Genomic DNA, 24,841 nt, shown 5'->3' with positions numbered 1-24,841 from the left:
AAACCGGGACACGTCTTCTCCTCCAAAGGATCTAACTCCTTGCTAGCAAGGGAACAACACGGGATAGAGAATGAATTTGACAAATCGACAGAAGTAGACTTCAGAAGTTGGGTAATAATGAACTCCTCTGAGCTAAAGGAGCATGTTCTAGCCCAATGCAACGAAGCTAAGAACCTTGAAAAAACGGTTAGAGGAATTTCTAACTAGAATAACCAGTTTAGAGAAGAACATAAATGACCTGATGGAGCTGAAAAACACAGCATGAGAACTTCATGAAGCATACACAAGTATCAATAGCCCAATCAATTAAGCAGAAGAAAGGATATCAGAGATTGAAGATCAACTCAATGAAATAAAGTGAGGAGAAAAATGAGTGAAAAGAAACACACAAAGCCTCCAAGAAATATGGAAATATGTGAAAAAGACCAACTCTATACTTGACTTGGGTACCTGAAAGTGATGGGGAGAATGGAACCAAGTTGGAAAATGCTCTTCAGGATATTCACCAGGAGAATTTCCCCCACCTAGCAAGGCAAGCCAACATTCAAATTCAGGAAATACGGAGAACACCACAAAGATACTTTGCAAGAATAGCAACCCCAAGACACATAATCGTCAGATTCACTAAGGTTGAAATGAAGGAAAAAATGTTAAGGGCAGCCAGAGAGAAAGGCCAGGTTTACTCACAAAGGGAAGCCCATCAGACTAACAACACATCTCTCTGCAAAAACTCTTAAACCCAGAAGATAGTAGGGGCCAATATTCATCATTCTTAAAGAATTTTCAACCCAGAGTTTTATATCCAGCCAAACTAAGCTTCATAAGCGAAGGAGAAATAAAATCCTATACCGAGAAGAAAATGCTGAGAGATTTTTTTCACCACCAGGCCTGCCTTACAAGAGCTCCTGAAGGAAGTATCAAATATGGAAAGCAAAAACTGGTACCAGCCAATGCAAAAACCTACCAAATTGTAAAGACCATAAGGGCTATGAAGAAACTGCATCAACTAATGAGCAAAATAAACAGATAGCATTATGACAGGATCAAATGCACACATAACAATATTAACCTTAAATGTAAACAGGCTAAATGCCCCAATTAAAAGACACAGACTGGCAAATTGGATAAAGAATCAAGACCCATAAGCGTGCTGTATTCAGGAGACCCTTCTCATATGCAAAGACACATGTAGGCTCAAAATAAAGGGATGGAGGAATATTTACCAAGCAAATGGAAAGCAAACAAGCAAGGTTGCAATCCTAGTCTCTGATAAAATAGAATTTAAACCAACAAAGATCAAAAGAGACAAAGAAGGGCATTACATAACGGTAAAGGGATCAATACAACAAGAAGAGCTAACTATCCTAAATAAATATGGACCCAATACAAGAGCACTCAGATTCATAAAGCAAGTTCTTAGAGACCTGCAAAGAGACTTAGATTCCCACACAATAATAGTGGGAGACTTTAACACCCCACAGTCAATATTAGACAGATCAATGAGACAGAAAATTAACAAGGATATTCAGGACTCGAACTCAGCTCTGGACTAAGCAGACCTAATACACATCTACAGAACTCTCCACCCCAAATCAACAGAATATACATTCTTCCCAGAACCATATTGCACTAATTCTAAAGCTGACCACATAATTGGAAGTAAAACACTCCTGAACAAATGCAAAATAATGGAAATCATAACAAGCAGTCTTTCAGACCACAGTGCAATCAAATTAGAAGTCAGTATTAAGAAACTCACTCAAAACCACACAACTACATGGAAACTGAACAACCTGCTCCTGAATGACTACTGGGTAAATAAATCCGTGAGTAGACCAATAACAAGTTCTGAAACTGAGGCAGTATTTAATAGCCTACCAACCAAAAAAAGCCCAGCACCAGACAGATTCATAGCCAAATTCTACCAGAGGTACAAAGAGGAGCTGGTACCATTCCTTCTGAAACTATTCCAAACCATAGAAAAGGAGGGACTCTTCCCTAACTCATTTTATGAGGCCAGCATCATCCTGATACCAAAACCTAGCAGAGACACAACAAAAAAAGAAAATTTCAGGCTAATATCCCTGATGAACATCAATGGGAAAATCCTCAATAAAATACTGGCAAACCAAATCCAAAAGCACATCAAAAAGCTTATCCACTATGATCAAGTCGGCTTCATCCCTGGGATTCAACGCTTGTTCAATATATGCAAATCAATAAACATAATCCATCACATGAACAGAGCCAATGACAAAAACCACATGATTATCACAATAGATGCAGAAAAGGCCTTCGACAAAATTCAACTAGGCATTGATGGAACTAGGTATTGATGGAACATACCTCAAAATAATGAGAGCTATTTATGACAAACCCACAGCCAATATCATACCGACTGGGCAAAAACTGGAAGCATTCCCTTTCAAAACCGGCACAAGACAAGGATGCCCTCTCTCACCACTCCTATTCAACATAGTATTGGAAGTTCTGGCCAGGGAAATCAGGCAAGAGAAAGAAATAAAGGGTATTCAATTAGGAAAAGAGGAAGTCAAATTGTCTCTGTTTGCAGATGACATGACTGTATATTTAGAAAACCCCATCGTCTTAGCCCAAAATCTCCTTAAGCTGATAAGCAACTTCAGCAAAGTCTCAAGATACAAAATCAATGTGCAAAAATCACAAGTGTTCCTATACACCAATGACAGACAGAGAGCCAAATCGTGAGTGAACTCCCATTCACAATTGCTACAAAGAGAATAAAATGCCTAGGAATACAACTTACAAGGGATGTGAAGGACCCTCTACAAGCAGAACTACCAATCACTGCTCAAGGAAATAAGAGAGGACACAAACAAATGGAAAAACATTTCATGCTCATGGATAGGAAGAATCAATATCGTGAAAATGGCCATACTGCCCAAAGGAATTTATAGATTCAATGCTATCCCCAATCAAGCTACCACTGACCTTCTTCACAGAATTAGAAAAAACTACTTTAAATTTCATATGGAACCAAAAGGGAGCCCATATAGCCAAGACAATCCTAAGCAAAAAGAACAAAGCTGGAGGCATCATGCTACCTGACTTCAAACTATACTACAAGGCTCAAGTAGCCAAAACAGCATGGTACTGGTACCAAAACAGAAATATAGACCAATGGAACAGAAGAGAGGCCTCAGAAATAACACTACACATCTACAACCATCTGATCTTTGACAAACCTGACAAAAACAAGCAATAGGGAAAGGATTCCCTATTTAATAAACGGTGTTGGGAAAACTGGCTAGCCATATGCAGAAAGCTGAAACTGGATCCCTTCCTTAAACCTTATACAAAAATTAACTCAAGATGGATTAAAGACTTAAATGTAAGACCCAAAACCATAAAAACCGCAGAAGAAAACCTATGCAGTACCATCTAAAACATAGGCATGGGCAAAGACTTCATGCCTAAAACACCAAAGGCAATGGCAACAAAAACCAAAATTGACAAATGGAATCTAATTAAACTAAAGAGCTTCTGCACAGCAAAAGAAACTATCTTAAGAGTGAACAGGCAACCTACAGAGTGGGAGAAAATTTTTGCAGTCTATCCATCTGACAAAGGGCCAATATCCAGAATCTACAAAGAACTTAAATTTACAAGAAAAAAAACAAACAACCCCATCAAAAAGTGGGCGAATGATACGAACAGACACTTCTCCCAAGAAGACAATTATGTGGCCAACAAACATATGAAAAAAAGCTCATCATCACTGGTCATTAGAGAAATGCAAATCAAAACCACAATGAGATACCATCTCGTGCCAGTTAGAATGGCAATCATTAAAAAGTCAGGAAATAGATGCTGGAGAGGATGTGGAGAAATAGGAACACTCTTACACTGTTGGTGGCAGTGTAAATTACTTCAACCATTGTGGAAGAAGACAGTGTGGCAATTCCTCAAGGATCTAGAACCAGAAATACCATTTGACCCAGCAATCCCTTTACTGGGTATATACCTGTAGGGACCAGCCCTACAGGGTCTGTGGGTTTTTCTCCTCCTGTGCAGAGACAAGAGATCATAGAAATAAAGACACAAGACAAAGAGAAAAAAAGACAGCTGGGCCCTGGGGGACCACTACCACCAAGACGCGGAGACGAGTAGTGGCCCCGAATGCCAGGCTGAGCTGTTATTTATTGGATAGAAGGCAAAGGGGCAGGGTAAGGAGTGTGAGCCATCTCCAATGATAGGTAAGGTGACGCGAGTCACGTGTCCACTGGACAGGGGGCCCTTCCCTGTTTGGCAGTGGAGGCGGAGAGAGAGAGAGGAGACAGCTTACGCCATTACTTCTGCATTTCAAAGACTTTTAGTACTTTCACTAATTCTGCTACTGCCGTCTAAAAGGCGGAGCCAGGTGTACAGGGTGGAACATGAAAGCAGACCAGGAGCGTGACCACTGAAACACAGCATCACAGTCAGGGCCTGACTGATATCAGGCCCTCCACAAGAGGTGGTGGAGCAGAGTCTTCTCTAACTCCCGGGGGGAAAGGGAAGCTCCCTTTCCTGGTCTGCTAAGTAATGGGTGTCTTCTCTAGGCACTGACGCTACTGCTAGACCAAGGTCCGCTAGGTAAGGGGCGTCTTCCAAGACGCTGGCGTTACCGCTAGACCAAGGAGCCCTCTAGTGGCCCTGTCCAGGCATAACAGAAGGCTCACACTTGCCTTCTGGTCACTTTTCACTGTGTCCCTTCAGCTCCTATCTCTGTTTGGCCTCGTTTTTCCTAGGTTATAATTGTAGAGCAACAATTATTATAATACTGGAATAAAGAGTAGTGCTACAAACTAATGATTAATGATATTCATATGTAAACATATCTATAATCTATTTCTAGTACAACTATTCTTATTCTACATATTTTCTTCATTATACTGGAACGGCTCGTGCCCTCGGTCTCTTGCCTCGGCACCTGGGTGACTTTCCGCCCACAATACCCAAAGGATTATAAATCATTCTATTATAAAGACACATGCACACGTATGTTTATTGCGGCACTGTTCACAATAGCAAAGTCTTGGAACCAACCCAAATGCCCATCAATGATAGACTGGATAAAGAAGATGTGGCACATATACACCATGGGACACTATATAGCCATAAAAAAGGATGAGTTCGTGTCCTTTGCAGGGACATGGATGAAGCTGGAAACCACCATTTTTAGCAAACTAACACAAAAACAGAAAACCAGACACCGCATGTTCTCACTCATAAGTGGGAGTTGAACAATGAGAACACATGGACACAGAGATGGGGGGCATCACACACTGGGGCCTGTCAGGGGGTGGTGGGCTGGGGGAGGGATAGCATTAGGAGAAATACCTAATGTAGATGACAGATTGATGGCTGCAGCAAACTACCGTGGCACATGTATACCTATGTAACCAACCTGCATGTCCTGCACATGTACCCTAGAACTTAAAGTATAATAAAATAATAAATTTTAAAAAACAGAAATATTGCTATGTACAACACTGAATCCTTACAGACATAATGATGAATAAAATAAGCCAGACACAAGAGTACATATACGATTTCTTTATATGAAGCTTAAAAACAGACAAAATTAATCTGTGGAAGAAAGTCAGAATAGTAATTACCTCTGGGGAAAGACAGAAGGATATTGACTGGAAAAAAAACAGGAGGGAGCTTTCTAAGGTTCTGGAAATATTCCATATCTTGACTTGGGTGGTGGTTACATGGCACTATAGATGTTGAAAAATTCATCAAGATGTACACATATGATGTGTGCATTTTACTATACACTACTATATAAGTCTCTATCACTACCCGAATTAGTTACCACAAATTCAGCAGCCTAAAACAACACAAACTTACTATCTCACAGTTCTGTAGATAACAAGTCCAGGTTCGCTCAGCTGGTTTCTCTGATTTGGGTTTTACAGGGCAATAATCAAAATGCTGGTAAGCTAGGTTCCAACTGAGAATCTCTGGGAAGAAGCCGCTTCCAAGCTCATTCAGGTTTTTTGTTTGCTTGTTTTGCAGGATCCAGTTCCTTGATTTTGTAGGACTGAGGCCCCCATTTCCTTGCAGGCTGTTTCCAGGAGCCACCCCGTAGCTCATGGGGTCTCTTTCTAGTCCTTGTACATAGCTCCTGCATTTCAAAGCCAGTTACGGTACATTAAATCCTTCTTAGATCCTTGTTCCCCTTCTTTACCATCCCCTCTTTCTTCCTCTTCTACCACGTCTCTGACTCCTGTGCCTTCTTCTTTTGCTTTTAAGGGCTCATGTGATTACACTGGGTTTACCCAGATAATCCAGTATAATCTCCTTAAGGTTCATACCCTTATTTACATCTGCAAAGTCCTTTATGACATGTAACATAATATGTTCATAGGATGTGGGGGTTAGAGTATAGACATATTTGGGGGGCCATTATCTGAAAAACTACAGTTGTCTTCAATAACTTTTTAATATAGTCACATGAAAAGACAGATCTCTTTACCAAAGAAACGAGGAATGAGCCTGTGCAGTTCATTTTTAGCCTAAATTTCTCTCCCATTTGATCTTATTCCAATTATGTCCTTGACTCACTTCGTATTTAGGGTCTCAAGAAAGTAGAATATTCATAGTGTACTCCTCCGTATCCAACTGTATTATAGATATAGATACATAGATATATTACTGATAAATATATGTGCTATGAAACCCACTGAGTTATTACATTTCAATAATAGCATGGCATAAAAAATATTTCTAAGATATAATACAACATTTTTATACATACCAGTCATACCAACCAACACATTTTATATGGTAAGCTATTGAAGTAATTCATTACATTTTCCTTTGGTCAGTTCTGTCAGTTAGCATAACTTCTTTAAAGATTAAAAACAATATTTCACTATTACTTAGGGCACTATGTCAAACAGATTACATAACTGTGTTCTCAAAGAGCAAGCATGTTTAAGAAGTTATTTGGAATATTGACTTATTCCTTCCAATTTTCTTCAGAACTCATCTTTGCAACTATTATTTTTACTTGAAGATTCATGGAGAAAAATTACTCAAACTACTTGATAATTTACGCAGTTTTACTGTCAAAATCTGATGTACTTTCAACTTCCAAAGCACGTATATTCTTTGCTGTTTTCCACATAATACAGCATCAGATAAAGGCATCAGTAATTTTGACTTGATTGCACTGTAATTATTCAAATATCTTTAATTTTATGCTCTGGTCTAATTTCCATATTTGTTATCATTTAAAATTATTATTATAGATAATATACCTAAAGTACTTCCATTAATTGGAAAATGCAATTCTTGAACAATAATAGTCATCACAAAAACAACTCAACATAAAGGCCACAATGGCAATGTAGCTGTATTTACTATCAGCATCGATCATGACCAGCACCATAATCTCAGCACTTAGTGAGTGGTCCCCTCTAAACTTGGCATAATCATTCCTCAGTGGATCTGACCACATCTGACCAATGGCCATTTCAGTTCACCAAGTCATCCTTCCTTACACCTTGCAAATAAGGCAAAATCTCAGGTTGAGATCAATGCCTTAAGAGTACTCACTTCTTCTGAAGCAGGGATTTGCTTTTTGCAGCTGCTCAGCAGGGCTCTGCACCTCTTATCAATCAAGAAGGAGCTGCAACATTTCCTCCCTGCTGCAGGAAACAGTGTCTCTAGCTGAGACTTATCAGCAGGGATTCTAGCAGTTCCACCAGATAAGAAAAGAATTCAGGGTCAAAGAGAAAAGAAAAAGGTATAAAGGAAGCCAAGAGAGGAGACAAAATACAAACAAAGAATTACAGACCCTGTTTATCATAGACCCCTTTGCAGCACAACACAGGAGGTTTCAGCAGGAAACTATTGGGGGTTGAAGAATCTTTGAATATTACACATTTAAAAAAAACTTCAAAAACTATTGCCCCTCATAAGAAAAGAAGCTTTAAGCAGGATGTAGAATAAAAATACTTTAAGTGCTAAATATTTTATTAACTTTGATTTTCACCAAAATGTCCTATATTCCTCTGAACACCAAAACAGCCAAAACCTGAACCAACAATGCGTTGTTTTAAGGTATTATAAAGTCCATCAAATTAAAGATTATCAAATTGCTTTTGTTTAATTCTAACTTACATTTTAGGGTAATTGAACAATAGCATTAAGTCATTAGCAAGCTATTGAGAGCCTGGAGAATACATACATACCTGGGAGACATTGTGAGCTCGGTTCCAGATGACCACAAAAAAATGAGTCACATTTTTTTTTGTTTCCCAGCTCATATAAAATTTATGTTTATACTATACTGTAGTCTATTAAGTGTGTAGTAGCATTATGTCTAAAAAGACAATGCATATGCTTTATTTAAAAATACTTTATTTCTAAAACATGCTAACAATTATCTGAGCCTTAAGAGAGTCTTAATCTTTCTGCTAGTGGAGGATCTTGCTTCAATGTTGATGGTTCCTGACTGATCAGGGTAGGATAGTGGTTGCTGAAGGTTGGGGTGGCTACAACAATTTATTAAAATGATAAAAAAAAATGAAGTGTACTGCAATGATTGACTCTTTCACAAAAGATTTCTCTGTAGCATGTGATACTGTTTGATAGCATTTGACTCACAGAAGAACTTTCAAAATTGGAGTTGATCCTCTCAAACCCTGCTGCTGTTTTATCAACTAAGTTACTTGCTAATTTTTTTTTTCACTTCAGCAATGTTCACAGCATCATTACCAGGAGTAGGTTCCATCTCACGAAACTACTTTATTTGCTCTTTCATAAGAAGCAACACCTTATCTATTCAAGTTGCTCATAAGATTGCAGCAATTCAGTCACATGTTTAGGCTCTATTTACAACTCTAATTCTCTTGCTATTTTCACCACATCTACAGTTACTTCCTCCACTGAGGTCTTCAACCCATCAAAGTAATCTGTGAGGTTGGAGTTAACTTCTTACAAAGTTCTGTTAATGTTGACATACTGACCTACTCCCGTGTTCTTAATCACATATGTTCTTAATGGCATCTAAAATGGTGAATCCTTTCCAGAAGTTTTTTGATTTACCTTGCCCAGATTCAGAGAAATCACTATGTATGGCAGCTATAGCCTTACACTATGTATGGCAGCTATAGCCTTACAAAATATATTTCTTAAATAAGACTAGAAAGTCAAAATTACTCCTTGATCCATGGGATGCTAAACAGATGTTGTGTTCGCATGAGATTGGTTTGGCTCTGTGACTCCACCCAAATCTCATCTTGAATTATAATCCCCAGGTATTGAAGGAGGTACCTGATGGGAGGTGATTGGATCATGGGGGCAGTTTTCTCCATGCTGTTCTTGTGATAGTGAGGGAGTTCTCACGAGATCTGATGGGTTTATAAGTGTTTGCAGTTCCTCCTTCACACACTCTGTCACCTGCTGCTATGTAAGATGTCCCTCTTCCCCTTCTGCCATGATTCTAAGATTCCTGAGCCCTCCCCAGCCATGCAAAACTGTTCATCAATTAAACCTCCTTTCTTTATAAATTTCCCCATTTCAGGTAGTGTCTTTATAGCAGTGTGAGAACGAGCTAATACAGCAGGCATGAAAACAACATTAATCTCCTTCAGAACTTCTGCATGACCAGATGCGTTGTCAAGGAGCAATGATCTTTTGAAAGAAAACTCCTTTTCTGAGCAGATCTCAACAACGGGTTTTTAATATTCAGCAAACCATACTGTGAGCAGATATACTGTCACCCAAGCTTTGTTGATTCATTTATAGAGCACAGACAGAGTACATTTAGCATCATTATTAAGGGCTCTAGGCATCATTATTAAGAGCTCTAGGATTTTCAGAATGGTAAATGAGGATGGGCTTCAACTTAAAGTCGTCAGTTATATTAGTGTCTAACAAGGGACTCAGCCCATCCTTTGAAGCTTTGCAGCCACGTATTGACTTTTCCTCTCAGCTATGAGCCCAGGGTGGCATCTTCTTCCAATAGAAGGCTATTTTGTCTGTATTGAAAATCTGTTATTTAGTGTAGCCACTTTCATCAATTATTTTAGCTAGATTGTCTGGATAACTTATTGCAGCTTCTCCATCAGCACTTGATGATTCACCTTACATTTTTATGTATGGAGACAGCTTCTTTCCTTAAACCTCATGAACCAACCTCTGCTAGCTTCCAACTTTTCTTCTGCAGCATCCTCACCTCTCTCAGCCTTCATGGAATTGAAGAAAGTTGGAAGTTTCCTCTGGATTAGGCTTTGGTTTAGGGGAATGTTGTGGCTGGTTTGATCTTCTGTTCAGACCACTAAAACTTTCTCCCTGTCATCGATAAGATTGCTTATGGCTTTTTATCATTTTATTTGAGTAACACTTTTAACTTCCTTCAAGAACTCTTTGTATTCACAACTTGGTTAACTGTCTGTCTCAAGACACCTAGCTTTTGGCCTATCTCAGCTTTCCACTTGCCTTCCTCATTAAATTTAATTATTTGTAGCTTTTGATTTAAGGTGAGAGATTTGCAACTCTTCTTTCACTTAAACACTTGGAGTCATGGTAGGGTTATGAATTAGCCTAATTTTATACTATGTGTCTCAAGGAATAGGGAGGCCTGAGGGGAAAGAAAGGGAAATAGCCAATGGGTGGAGCAGTCAGAACACACACAACATTTATCAATTAAGTTCACCATCTTTTATAGGCACAATTCATGGTGCCCCTAAACAATGACAATAGTATCATCAAAGATCACTCATCACAGATCACCATAATCAGTATGATAATAATGAAAATATTTGAAATATTATGAGGCATACCAAAACGTGACACAGAGACACAAAGTGAGCACATGCTGTTAGAAAAATATCACCAATAGACTTGCTTGATGTAGGGTTGCCACAAACCTTCAGTTTGTAAAAAATGCAATATTTTCAAAGTGCAATAAAACAAGATAAGCCTGTATTGTGACAGTGCCCAAAGCCTAAGAAAATAGAGATATAAGAGTGCCTGTCTTTGAAAGTGAAGAAAAATGCCAACATTGGGGCAAAAATGCATGCTACCTTTCCTCACCCATTACAGCCAACATTTGTATAGCAATAGACAAAACAAATTTATTTAATCAAAGTTTTACATGATGTGGGAGACTTCAGAAATAAAGTTTTTATTTTTATGTGTAGATTTGATGAAGAATGGACAGCCATGTAGGAATGTAATTCAACAGAGGGTATGGTCTATAAGGTCTGGTCAGCTGAGATTCCTCTTGATCTCTCCGTGTAACATTCCTTCCTCCAGGATGTGGGGTAGGACACTCAAACAAGTCAAAAAACCTAGAGAGGTCACTCCCTTCTCCTTTCTCCCTAGGTCCTTGAAGAGAGTCTAGTTTCTCCTTTCTCCCTAGGAGAGAGAGAGTCTCCTTTCTCCCTAGGAAAGAGAATCTAGTTTCTATGACTCCTTCTGGGGAAAAAGTTCTGGTTTCTATAACTCACTTCAAAGGGAGAAAGAGCAGTGGAAGACAGGAGGGCAGAAAGTCAGAAAGACCTTGCTTCTGAAACTGTTCCCATCTCCTTCAGTTCAAAGTACTCAGCTTGCCGATGCACTGTGGGGATCATGTTCTGAGCCCCCAATATCGACAAAAAGGATTATATATTCCTACGAGAGATTTAAAATTGTCAGTCTGCCAGTTTACTAAACTTAAATTTTTACTATCTCAATCTTCTAAGAAAAAGGCAGATATTTTTTTCTGCAAAAAAATAATAAACATCATATATTACGTAAAAGGGAGAAAAAGTAAACTAGACGAAAACCTATCTAGAAGCCCAAGTTGTACATGAAATAAAAATTCAAGAAATGTTGCCAAAGCTCTGATCCTCAGCTCTGCCAGTGATTAAAATAAAGGTAACACAGGCCAGCGTGGTGGCTCATGCCTGTAATCCCAGCACTTTGGGAGGCCTAGGCAGGTAGATCATGAGGTCAGGAGATCGAGACCATCCTGGCTAACACGGTGAAACCCTGTCTCTACTAAAAATACAAAAAAATTAGCTGGGCATGGTGGCGGGTGCCTGTAGTCCCAGTTACTCGAGAGACTGAGGCAGGAGAATGGCGTGACCCCGGGAGGCGGAGCTTGCAGTGAGCCAAGATGGCACCACTGCACTCCAGCCTGGGCGACAGAGCAAGACTCTGTCTCAAAAAAAAAAATTAAATAAAATAAAAAATAAAGATAACACTACTCTTACCTCAGGATAAATGATGATAGTTTGGTATAATCTTTGAGCTCTGTAGGAGAAAGCAAATTTATATGCTTCTAGGAAGAATAAAATACCATTATTTAAATGAAGGGTATATGTCCTTCATTTAAATGTATTCCTACATTCCTACATTAAATGTATTCCTCTCACAAGTGAATTACAGTGGAAGAATTAAAAAATAATTTAACTACTAACCATGATCTTAACTCTAGTTATTTTGGTCAAACATAATATGCAATTCTACCTGTGAGTAGAATCTAAGTCAGTACTGCAATCTGTACACAGTGGTCATAACATAGTTTTCTACAAGCCACAATAACCAGCAGGTATTAAAACAGAGTTGACACAGTGACTTCACAATCCATGTATCAGAGTGGGAAAAAAAGTTCTATAGCTATAAGACGATCTACAAAGATGTCAAAAAATCTCAGAGAAACTAACCACCCCATCAGCGACGTAGAATTTACTGTTAGGAACACCTGCTCCCTTGTACCAGTCACTAGGAAAAAAAAAAAAAAAAAAAAAGCTAGTAAAAGACAGAGTGGCACAAAGGTATAAGAAGATAAAAAGAACAAAATGCCCCCAAGTTTGTAATGAGAGGAGTTTTCTTCACTTGCTTAATAACAAAGAATACCTTGCCAAATTTCCAGGGTTCATTTTATATTTAATTTCACACACAGGAAACCTTAATTTTGCATAAATTCCATAATTTATAGCTTAGGGCTAAAAAAAAAAAAAAAAAAAAAAAAAAAAAAGGACCCCCTGCCGAACATCAGCCCAGAAAAGTCAGATTTGTCTGAGTGTCAGCATGAACAATGCATCTGAAGGTTAATATTTAATCTCCTCGTCTCTGATCCCTAAAATCATGTGGATAAGGTGAAGTTATTTTGAAATTGCTGAAAGCAAGGTTTCATTCACCATGAAACAGAAGTTATGTTGGGAAAGGCGAAGAAATGAGAAAGCCATGAAGAATCTATAGAGGCTGAATAAATTTGTTGTACTGGCAACATATTAAAGAGGCCAACTAATTCGAAAGCATAAAGAATCTACTTTAATCTTGGCTTTTCACAGGAATAAACCCTTCAGATATTTCGCTTCCTAGGTATTTATGCTGAGCTAACTCAGAAACAACCAAAAGAACAGGAAGGCCACGTAAAAGATAAAAAGAAAAAACGTCAGGCATAAAGGGGAGATGCGGGCTAATTTCAGTCTAAAATGTTTGATTCACTATAAGAAAATGTCTGAATATGTTTTGCTTTCCTTTTAAATATTTATATATAATTATATATTATATATATTTATATATAATTATATATTATATTTATATATAATTATATATTATATATATATATAATTATATATTATATATATATAATTATATATTATATATTATATAATTATATATTATATACTATATAATTATATATTATATATATTTATATATATATTATATATATTTATATATTATATATTGTATTATATATAAATATATATAATATATAATATATAAATATATATAAAGAATTCATGTATATATGAATTCATTTCTTCACAGCACCTATTCCTGAGTCTAGATTGTTAACTTTCCCAGGGTTCCCTATCAAGAGAACTTTCCTTCCTTCTTTTCTTGTAGGTTTCAAATGCCTGATTGTCCATTCTTTCATTTGGTCATGAAAGTAAATATTTAAATCCATCCACAAAAATTCCATGTATTGGAATCAATGATCCCATTAATTGCAAGTTATTCCCCCGTTTTGGCAAAAAAAAAAAAAAAGTGCAATATAAACTGGAGGATTAAAGTACCACATCCACCCAATTTTATAATTCAAAATCATGAGTCAAGCATGAAAAAGTATTCATTTTGGCTTTGGAGAATAACGTAGTTTTGTAAAACCATAATGAAATGAATTCCCAAGACATGAAAAGGAGACGGGTCAAAATAGGCAATCGATAATTCTTTGAGGGTAGATTCCATTTTCAATGTACTACTTAACATCTACCGTAAAAGATGTTGGGCTAAATACATTTTTAAACCTTTTTAAAAAAATTTCTTCAGAGTTTTTAGACGCGAGGATTGAGCTGAAAAATATATATAGCCAATTGCCATTCTAATATTGGTGCTTTGTTGTTTCTTGTCCTTTTGAAATCCCATAATATTGTACTATCTCAGTGAATTTACAAGTGTCACCTTAGATTTACATTTTTCAGAATATTTTCTGCCTCTCCTTCTGAGTTATGAAATCCTTGCTGTTGGCCCTTTAATTTTAAGGTTAATTAGAGATCACATCTTTCTGAGGGTCTGGCAAAATGCACAAGTGTAACCAGGGAAACTAGCCCACAAAGTGCTACATGTACTACACGGCTTCTTGAGGCTACGGGAAAAGAGAATTCAACCAAACACTCAGATTTCACAGCTATAAGCTCAGTTGAGTTCAGTTTGATCTACAAAGAAACTAGATGAAAAAAAAAACACAGAAAGGAAAATCGTTATAAATTAAAGCTATGATTAGAATAGTTTAATTGCACAGTTAAATTTCCAAATATTAGTCAGAGCCTTGCAGTAATGGTTGTGTAATTCCTGCACTTCCTGGGTTATGAGCAGATGTGTGTGTATCTCTGTAGATGGAGACCGTGTCAAACCAATTTTTGCATCTCCAAAGCCTTCCCAAAGCCAAGGACACAGTAAGTGTTCAAAAAATATTTGCTTGAACAAGTACAAGAGTCATAAGACTCATCTCTAATAGAATGTACAGGAAATAAGTCACAGATACAAGGTGGTAACCATTGACTGTGGAGGCAGATTACTCAGCCCACATAATCCCTCAGGGGCCATTTCTGAGGAATGTCTACCAGTGCCCCATTCCCTTCTTTTGAGTAATATCATCTTCCACAACATGCAATCTAAATGGGAACTACTTAGACTGGGTAGTTTGTAAACAAGTTTTTTGCTCACAGTTCTGGAGGCTGAGAAGTCCAAGATCAAGGCACCAGCAGATTGTCTGGTGATGGCTCTGTTTCATAGATGGTGACTTGTTTCTTTGTCCTCACCTGGCAGATGGGCAAGAAAGCTCTCTGGGGCCTCTTTTATAAGGCCATTAGTCCCATTCAGGAGGTGCAGAGCCTTTATGACCTAATGACCTCCAGAAAGCCCCATTTCTAAGACCATCATGTTACTGATTAGGCTTCAAGATAGGAATTTTGCAGGAGGCACAAACTTTCATACCATAGCAGGAACTAACCTCGTCTTCATGATTAATGGCTAAGTTTGTGAAAGAAACCAGAATCCAGCCGAAGGACTTTTCAAATTGGAAATAAAAGGATGTGCTTTACCTGGCTTTCACCTCTTTGCAGTGGAAAAGAATGAAATCAACAAGTATAGAGAAACAAAGACAAATGTTGAAAGAGAAATTTGGGGCTGGGTACAGTGGCTCACGCCTGTAATCCCAGCACTTTAGGAGGCCAAGGTGGGTGGATCACCTGAGGTCAGGAGTTCAAGCCCAGCCTGGCCAACATGGTGAAACGCTGTCTCTACTAAAATTACAAAAATTAGCCAGGCGTAGTGGCGAGTGCCTGTAATCCCAGCTACTCAGGAGGCTGAGACAGGAGAATTGCTTGAACCCAGGGGGCAGAGGTTGCAGTGAGCAGAGATGGTGCCATTACACTCCAGCCTGGGCGACAAGAGCAAAAACTCCATTGAAAGAAAGAAAGAAAGAGAAAGAAAGAGAAAGAAAGAAAGAAAGAAAGAAAGAAAGAAAGAAAGAAAGAAAGAAAGAAAGAAAGAAAGAAAGAAAGAAAGAAAGAAAGAAAGTTGGTGTGGCATAGCTTCTGGTCTGGGCATCTAGTTACACTCCTGCCCTTCCCAGTTTTATGAGTGCATAAATTCACCTCTTGGCCTAGTTAATTCAAATTGAATTGAACTAAAAGAACCTGACTTATAAAATGAGTGACCCCTTCTGCAGCAAAAATACATCACCTGAGTCTCTCCCCAAGGAGAAGCGCTCAGGCTGGAAGTGGGGATATAATGACAGAGGGCATTGCATTTGGAAAGATCACCTGTTGTTGCTTGATTGGAATTTGTTCTCTTTTTGATAATAAATGCCTCCGTGGAGGCCAGAGATTGTGAATATGCTTATACACCCCACACTTCCAGAAAAACCTATGAATAATTTCCTCATTAGAAATAACAGCTTCTAACACACAAGGCATCTGAGTCAGCTGGGAAAGTTATCCTGTCACCCTTTGTCACTATTGCGAAAAATAAAAGGCCATGGGGCAGGCTAGAATTTCTGTAGAAATTTGACCCAATTATGTCTTGAACCTTAAGTTATTCTCTCAGACTAAGGTGGTTACTCATCTCATCATCAGAGCCTACTCTATGAGTTATTGGTTTTATCTTACCACTCAGTAAGCAATTCACCAAATACCATGGTCCACTGTGCCTCCATGCCAGGGTCTGTCCCGCAGACCCCAGCTGCACAACGGATGAATAACATACTCAGACACCAATACTCAGCGAAAGAGCAGGCCAGGGGACCAGGCTGCTGACCAAAAGAGTTGTAGCAGCAACAGCCCTGACTAGCTGGCCCTACCAGCATTTATTCAGCATACATTAAATCACAAAGGCTTTCAGTCAACAACACTAGAGGGTAATTAACCTGGTCACCTTCCCCTTGAGAGAGCCATCTTGCCCACAAATGATCAAAGATTAGTTTTAGGACCACATGAGTAAACAAGCTATTTAGATAAACTCCCTTACATTCCTTTGTTCCTACTCTAAGTTATTTATTCAAGGTAAAGATTAGGCTGCCTTCAGCCAGATCTATTACTGGAGCTTATGAAACCCCCTGGCCTTCCAAGAAGGTTTATTCCTATTTCTTATAGTTATCTTTGACTTGGAACCAACCCAAATGTCCAACAATGATAGACTGAATTAAGAAAATGTGGCACATATACACCATGGAATACTAAGCAGCCATAAAAAATGATGAGTTCATGTCCTTTGCAGGGACATGGATGAAGCTGGAAACCATCATTCTCAGCAAACTATCGCAAGGACAAAAAACCAAACACCACGTTCTCACTCATAGGTGGGAATTGAACAATGAGAACACTTGGACACAGGAAGGGGAACATCACACACCAGGGCCTGTTGTGGAATGGGGGGAGTGGGGAGAGATAGCATTAGGAGATATACCTAATGTAAATGACAAGTTAATGGGTGCAGCACACCAACATGGCACATGTATACATATGTAAAAACCTGCACGTTGTGCACATGTACCCTAAAACTTAAAGTATAATTAAAAATGTATATATAAAATAAATTAAATTAAAAAAATTAAAAAAAAAAACTTTTCTCACAAGCCTGACTGAACTCTCACACCTCCACAGCATGATTCTTCCCTAACTGTCTCCAGCTTGGTATGTTAACCCTCTGTAAAGGTCAGCACCTCCATTTTGCCTTGCCCCTTCTCAGTTGACTATCCTATATTCTGGCTAACTTTGATGATGTCAATTTTATAACATCAAAGCAATAAATGATTAACTTTTCAAGTTTAGACCAAAAAGAAGTGGCATTTTTTTCCTTATCCAGAGGCTATCTGGAAAATAACAACATAATAATAACTGCTATTTACTAAAGGCTAAACACTTGATACACACCCTGCAGTAGTTCTCTCTTGTCCTCACAACAGCTCTGGAAGACAGAGATTTTAAGACCGACAGATGAGGAAATGAGGAGCCAGGAGGTAAATTAATTCAACTGCTATTTTATCCAAGTATATGTCAGGTTCCTGGCACTATTCTTGGCACCCAGCACATATAATTACCTCCTATGCCTGTGACTCACCAATAAACAAGGTATAATGATTTCATCTTATAAATAAAGAAACCAGACTGGGCTCAGTGGCACACACTGTAATCCCAACACCTTGGGAAGTAGAGGTGAGAGGATGGCTTGAGGCCAGGAGTTCAAGACAAGCCTGGGCAACATAGCAAGACCCCATCTCTACAAAAAAATTAAAATAATAAAAATTAGCTGGGCATGGCACCTGTAGTCCCAGCTCCTCAGTAGACTGAGGAGAGAGGATCCCTTGAGCCCAGGAGTTCAAGTTTACAGTGAGCTATGATCACGCCATTGCACTCTAGTCTCTAGTGTGGGCAACAGAGCAAGGCCCTATCTCTAAAAAAGAAAAAGAAAAGAATAAAAAAGATGGGGGTGTCTTAGAGCAGTCAAATGCTTTATCCGAGGCCATACAGCTATTAAATAGTGGGGCGAGGATAGAGGTGTGTGTCTCTCTCATTTCATAGCCCCTGATCTTTTCCCACTACACTATGCTGCACTTCATGAACTGTTTTTGGTTCAACTGCTGAAAGTTCCCTTCATAAACACGGAATGATTGAGGTTTACCCTTCACAAGCTCTCTTTTTATCTTTCTTATGGGTCTATTTTCAGGGCAGGAATAAGTTTTTATTTCGAAAATTAAGTCTCATGTTTGCTTTAGGCCCTTTTATTCTAAAAGGAAGCTTCGGTAAAGGTACAGATGGAAGAGGCATACTAACATTCATTAATTTCAGAGCTATGACTCCTTAGTTATCTGGTTTGTATTACCGTAGTAGTCCCTCCTTACCCACAAGGGTTATGTTCCAAGACCCCCAGCAAATGCCTGCAGGTAGCACCAAACCCTATATATAATTTTTTTGTGTATATATACACATACTTGAAGTTTAATTTATAAATCAGACACTGTAAGAGATTAACAACACTAATATTCAAATAAAACAATTATAACAATATAGTATAATAAAGGTTATGTGAATGTGATCTCTCTTTCTCTTTCTCCCAAAATATCTTATTGTAGTATACCGTAACTGAAACTGTGGGAAGCAAAACCGTGGATAAGAGGGGACTACTGCATAATAAGATGCATGCTTTCTACATTTAAAAATGCCTAAAACTGCCATGCGTTTCATAATCTAATTTCAAGAAAATGTACCTATTATCACCCAGATGAATAAATTAAAATAGTCCCAAGTGTTCTAAGACATCCATATAATCTGCTTTCTGATTATCATCCTCAGTTGAGGTTTTTTTAAGTTCATAACACCAGAACAGGTTTAATTTTAACTTAAATTTGAATTCTTAACGGTTACAACACTATCTTCAAAGAATGCACATGATGCTGCAATAAAAATAAAAGTTATTTTTTAAGTGTAGAAGATAGTCACACACTAGGACTGCAATTAAAGGGAGTAGACATTTCTAAATCTTCTGAAATATTTATGTCATAGAATATTCAAATGCAGGAGAAGTCTGCATACATCACCAGGATACAAAGTCTCAAAACTGATTCAGATTAGTTACATTCTGAATGTGAAAAAGGCTTAGTTCCATACTTTAATAATATTGGAAAAAAAGAGGTATTGGTGCTATTGACCATTAATTTAAAAATCAGATGCGATAGGAAGAGGGAGACCAAAATAACCATTGCCACATAATCTTTCTGCAGAAATGAGGACTACAGTATACATCCAAAATTTCTATTTATTTTAATGTTTATAGCTATAATTTTTTTAATTTTCTTCTATTCACTTTTTTCTGCTCTTTTATGTGAAGCATATTGTTGGTTTTTACTTTACAATTTAGTCCATATGTTATAGAAAATCAACACAGGGCCAGGTGCCCTGGCTCATGCCTGTAATCCCAGCACTCTGGGAGGCCGAGGCACATAGATCATTGAGGTCAGGATTCAAGACTAGCCTGGCCAACATGGTAAAACCCTGTCCCAACTAAAAATACAAAAATCATCAGGGGTGATGGCATGCACCTGAAATCCCAGCTACTCGAGAGGCTGAGACAGGAGAATTGCTTCATCCTGTAAGGTAGAGGTTGCAGTGAGCCAAGGTCATGCCACTATGCTCCAGCCTGGGTTATAGAGCAAGACTCCCCCTCGAAAAATAAAAATAAAAATAGAAAATCAACACAGGATCACGATGAAGGTAGGGGAGAAATGGTCACAAGCTAAAGATGCTGGACATGGAACTGGACGTGAAAACCAATGAATTTTATACTGTCTTCCTTTTGGAGAAAGGGTGTATCAGATTTGTTTGGGAGTTTGTTGCACTAACTCAGATTAGAACACTTAGTTTTTGCTATTGTTGATATTGGTTACAAGTCTTAAAAAAAGAGAGAGAGAAAGAGGGACAATAGACATAGGACAGTCAAGGGAAAATTTTGGTGGACATTTTTCATGCTTTGGGCTCACTAGTACTTTTTAAAGTGCTTCTATCTGAAGAATTTGACACATTTTGAGTCTATGCCAGGAACTTATTTTCCCAGTTTCTCCTGCAGTCAGGGTACAAGGATGATTTGGCTATGATATCAGAATCACCCTTGCGAATATGCTATTCAAATGCAATGTGAAAAGGTAGACATCTCACAGGACATGTTCTATCTGCTAAGGTGAGAGCAGACACATCGAGCTGTCAGAAGTACTGACAGAAGTTCACTGGTACACTTTGCAGTACCTGTGCCTGATGGGAGCTGTGGGGTTGCTAAAAGAGCAGCCCAGTAGTAAACTTTTTTTTTTTTCTGCTTAAATCAGCTATATGTTGTCACATGGGATCTCAAGAACGCACAGAAAGTTTATCAGCTTATGAATTGCTTTTTATAGAAATGCAGCTTTTTACCCCTACCAACCCCTCTTTTTCATACTTCTGCACCCCACCCACATACCCTTCCCAGGCTCTGGTGTCTATCATTCTATTCTCTACCTCTATGAGATCAGGAATGTTTTAGCTCCTACATGTGAGTGAAAACATGTGGCTTCTGTCTTTCTGTGCCTGACTTACTTCACTTAACATAATGTCCCTTAGACTCATCCACATTGCTGCAAAGGATCAGATCTGATTCTTTCTTATGGCTGAATAGCATTCCATTGTGTGTATATACCACATTTTCTTTATCCATTTATCTGTTGATGGACATTTAAGTTGATTCCATATCTTGCTTATTGTAAATAGTGCTACAATAAACACAGGGTACAGGTATCCCTTTGAAATACTGATTTCCTTTCCTTTGTATATATACTCAGAAGTGGGATTGCTGGATCTTATGGTAGTTCTTTTTTTTCTCTACATCCTCATAAGCATTTGCTATTTTTTATAACAGCCATTCTAACAAGGGTGGGATGATATCTCATTGTGGTTTTGATTTGATTGCAACTTTCTAACTCATTTAAAAAGAGAAACACTAAATGAAAATGTTAGCAGTGTTTTTATTTGTGTAGTGGATTTGTAGTAATTCTTTCCCCTAGTTTCTTCTCAATATTCTTTAAACTATTTTGCATTTCCTTGGTTTTAAACATGTATTTATTTTATAAGCTTAAAGATACATATTTTTCAATGTTAAAATGAAAAAACACAAAACCTTAAGAAGGGAAAAGCAGAATGTAATCAGCCTGGAATGACAGATCATTCTGGAGATTAACAGTAAAAAGGTATCATGCAATTTCCCAGCATTTGGATCAGTGAATGAACAGAAAATGGATAAGTGAATGAATGGATGGATGGAGGGATAGATGGGTGGATGGATGAATGGATAATATTGATGTGAATGCATGCATATGATGGACAGATATTCCAATAATGGACATTTTTGAATATGTAATTATCAGAGTGAGACACATATTCTAGTAGAGAAATTCCCTTTCCATTCCTCCCCCTCTCTCATTCCTCTCCAAGTAAGGTCACTGGACTTCCCATCGTTTACAGCCTGTAGAACAACCATTTCCATCTCTCTCAGGATTTTTTCTGCACCTGTATATTGAAACCACACACACACACACACACACACACACACACACACTCACACACACATGGCCATGACCCAAGTATTATCTCCCCAACATGCATGTTCTGGACACTAGTCTCCAAGATGGAAATTCCCTTTAACAGTGATCAAGATTTCAGTTAACTTGCAAAGGTCTGAACCTGATACTGTCCCATTGCCTTCCTATTATCCTCCACTGTTACTGACCCAGCACTGACATAAGAATTTTTCCCACTCTTCTTTCTGTGCCCACACCAACCATATACATTGTTACAAGAGAATATAGTAAGAATATTATTATACTGACATTTTAAAATATTCTGCAAATTTTATCTTTAAAAGATTTTATTTCATAAAAGTATCAAATCATACAAGTAATGAATACTATAGTTCATGATCCCTAACACACAGGGCAAAAATATAATTGAAAAAATATAGAATAAACTGCTGCAGTTCTAGAGCACTGTTCTTATTTTTTTGCTAAGACAGGCAGGTTCATAAGAGGATTCATAAGCCAAGAAATTGCGGGTGGGGTGGGTTCAATAAAAATTCATTTAAAATCAAATTTGCAAGTGAAAAACCTTTGACTTTCTGTGGATTAACATTGGTATAATATCAAGCAAGAGAGTTTACTGGGCCATAATTTTAAGACTCTTCAATGCCTTTGGCAGATATCAAATAATAGCCTATTTAAAGGCAATCCTACTTACTTGAATCAAGGGATGGACTTGAAAATAACATAACTACAACCTCTGGAAAAAGACTTTTAAAATGCTATCCTTTACTAGGACATAGAAATCAGAAAAGAAATACAAAGTAAATTGTATAAATTATGACCTGAACCAACATTAAACTCTTATAAACAAAAAAGTTAGAAAGAAAAGAAAGGGGGTGGTAAGGGAGGGAGGGAGGAAAGAAGGAAAGGAAGAATGAAAGAAGGGAGGGAGAGAGAGGAAGGAACCCTGAAGAGAAATGACCTAAACAATTCCTTAAATATAATTTTAAAAAATTACTCACTAAACAAGTATTTATTAAGATACATCAGAATATATAGAACTGTATAAAATATTAATATTAAATATTAAATTTCAGATTAAATAGTGCATATTAAATAAAAGATACAGGCTCTGTCTTTAAGTATTTTATAATCCAACAGAAGGGATATACAGTCAAGTACACAGTTCAGTATAAATGTATGTGAGAGGTGTGTGGGTGGGCGGGTGGGGAAATGAACAGGTCTACCCATGAAAAGAGAAGGACTAGAGAAGATGAGGTTCTTAGAGTCCTCGTGAGTTGCCCACGCTGAATTTCGTCCCTCAGTCACGTGCCCTTCTGTGACTACAACTATGCCATGAACCACTGCTCACTCTCCTGCTGCCTGGATTTCCTGAACACACATCCTTGACAGCTGCTACCCTATCTACAGGGACCCTACCCCTGGCTGAATTGGGGACAGACCAAAATTCCATTTGAGCACCTCTATTTGTTCTCTACACACAAATTCACTACATACAAATGAATGAATGATCTCAAATTTCCTGAAGTTGGTTAATTAAAGACAATTCAAGGTAATATTGAAACCATGTATAGTGAATGCTAAACATGACTTCTCCCGTAGTACCAGGAAAAAGTAAGCAAATGTTGTATATTCATGATGTCCCTAGTTCTCCATCTTGATGCCTTGTTGTACAGTCTGTGCTACTGTCAAGAATTTATCCTTCCTTCAACTCTCTCTAGTGTTCAAGAAACTTCTAACTAACACTCACCAGAGGTGATACCATTCTATCATCCATGCTTTTCCCTCAAGAAGTTCATTTTTGCCAGTGAGTTCAGTTTAAAAAAAAAAAAGCCCTGAGCCTCTAACAGGATACTTTGTGGTGATCTTTGACAACCCAAATCCCCCAGAACAATCCAGGATCAGTATGGGCTCTCCGGGTTTAGTTTTATATGCAGTTCCCTCCCAGTGAATGTTTCAAATACACATGCATGCATACACACACACACACACACACACACACACACACACACCCCACATAGAAACACATCTTTCAAAGGAAAATATTAATTTTTAAAGACAGTATGGCCTAATCCTATAACAAGGAGCAAAAGGAGTTTTCTTCATTTGAAAGCTCCTTCTCACCATGGGGTTATTGATTTGCATTATTATACAGAATTGTATTTATCCCTTTCGCTCTCCTCTACCCCTCTTCAGCATATGTCCCCTTGGCCTGCCAAGGGCCTCGCTGAAAGTGATAGTCTCTAAATATCTGTCTGTTCTTAACCAAGAGATTAAAATACTACCTTGATATTACTACTTGTAAAAGCTCTTATAAGAATCCCTTATATTCTCCAGGATGAGGCTATCTCATGGGGAAAAACCTTGTTTCTTCAGTTTTACACATATGCATGTATGCCTGTTAATGAACATGGATGGACACACACACACACCCACACAGATGCACATATTAACACATCACTATGAAACTGACTTTGAAAAAATAAAATGGGTCAAAGATTTTGTCAGAGGTTTGAAGAGTATGTTGAATTATTTGGAGCACAGATTTTTCATGGGAGTCCATCAATCTTGGTTTGAAATTTGAAGATGGAGAATGTCACATTTTGTACAAGAAGAGGAAATGTTTCACTATGATTGCTACGGTAAAAGTGTGAAAATTGTAAAAAGTTAACCTTGTCAGGTATATAGAATGACAATATAGAAGCTTATTTCTATATTTTATAAATATGTTAGCAAATGGTAAAA

General features: G+C 37.9%; 2 annotated features.

Moving 5' to 3' along the window:
* Positions 7,344–7,866: an enhancer, noted in NCBI's record as "NANOG hESC enhancer chr2:184156752-184157274 (GRCh37/hg19 assembly coordinates)". NCBI's record gives its function as "activates a minimal SCP1, AML or CMV promoter by ChIP-STARR-seq in naive H9 embryonic stem cells {active_cell/tissue: H9 hESC(naive)}" and the evidence as "EXISTENCE:reporter gene assay evidence [ECO:0000049][PMID:30033119]".
* Positions 16,572–17,169: an enhancer, noted in NCBI's record as "OCT4-NANOG hESC enhancer chr2:184147449-184148046 (GRCh37/hg19 assembly coordinates)". NCBI's record gives its function as "activates a minimal SCP1, AML or CMV promoter by ChIP-STARR-seq in primed H9 embryonic stem cells {active_cell/tissue: H9 hESC(primed)}" and the evidence as "EXISTENCE:reporter gene assay evidence [ECO:0000049][PMID:30033119]".

This window comes from Homo sapiens, chromosome 2 (assembly GCF_000001405.40).
Source record: "Homo sapiens chromosome 2, GRCh38.p14 Primary Assembly".
In the NCBI taxonomy this organism is placed as follows: domain Eukaryota; kingdom Metazoa; phylum Chordata; class Mammalia; order Primates; family Hominidae; genus Homo; species Homo sapiens.
The sequence above is the reverse complement of the archived record's forward strand: the minus strand, read 5'-3'. Positions and strand labels throughout refer to the sequence as shown.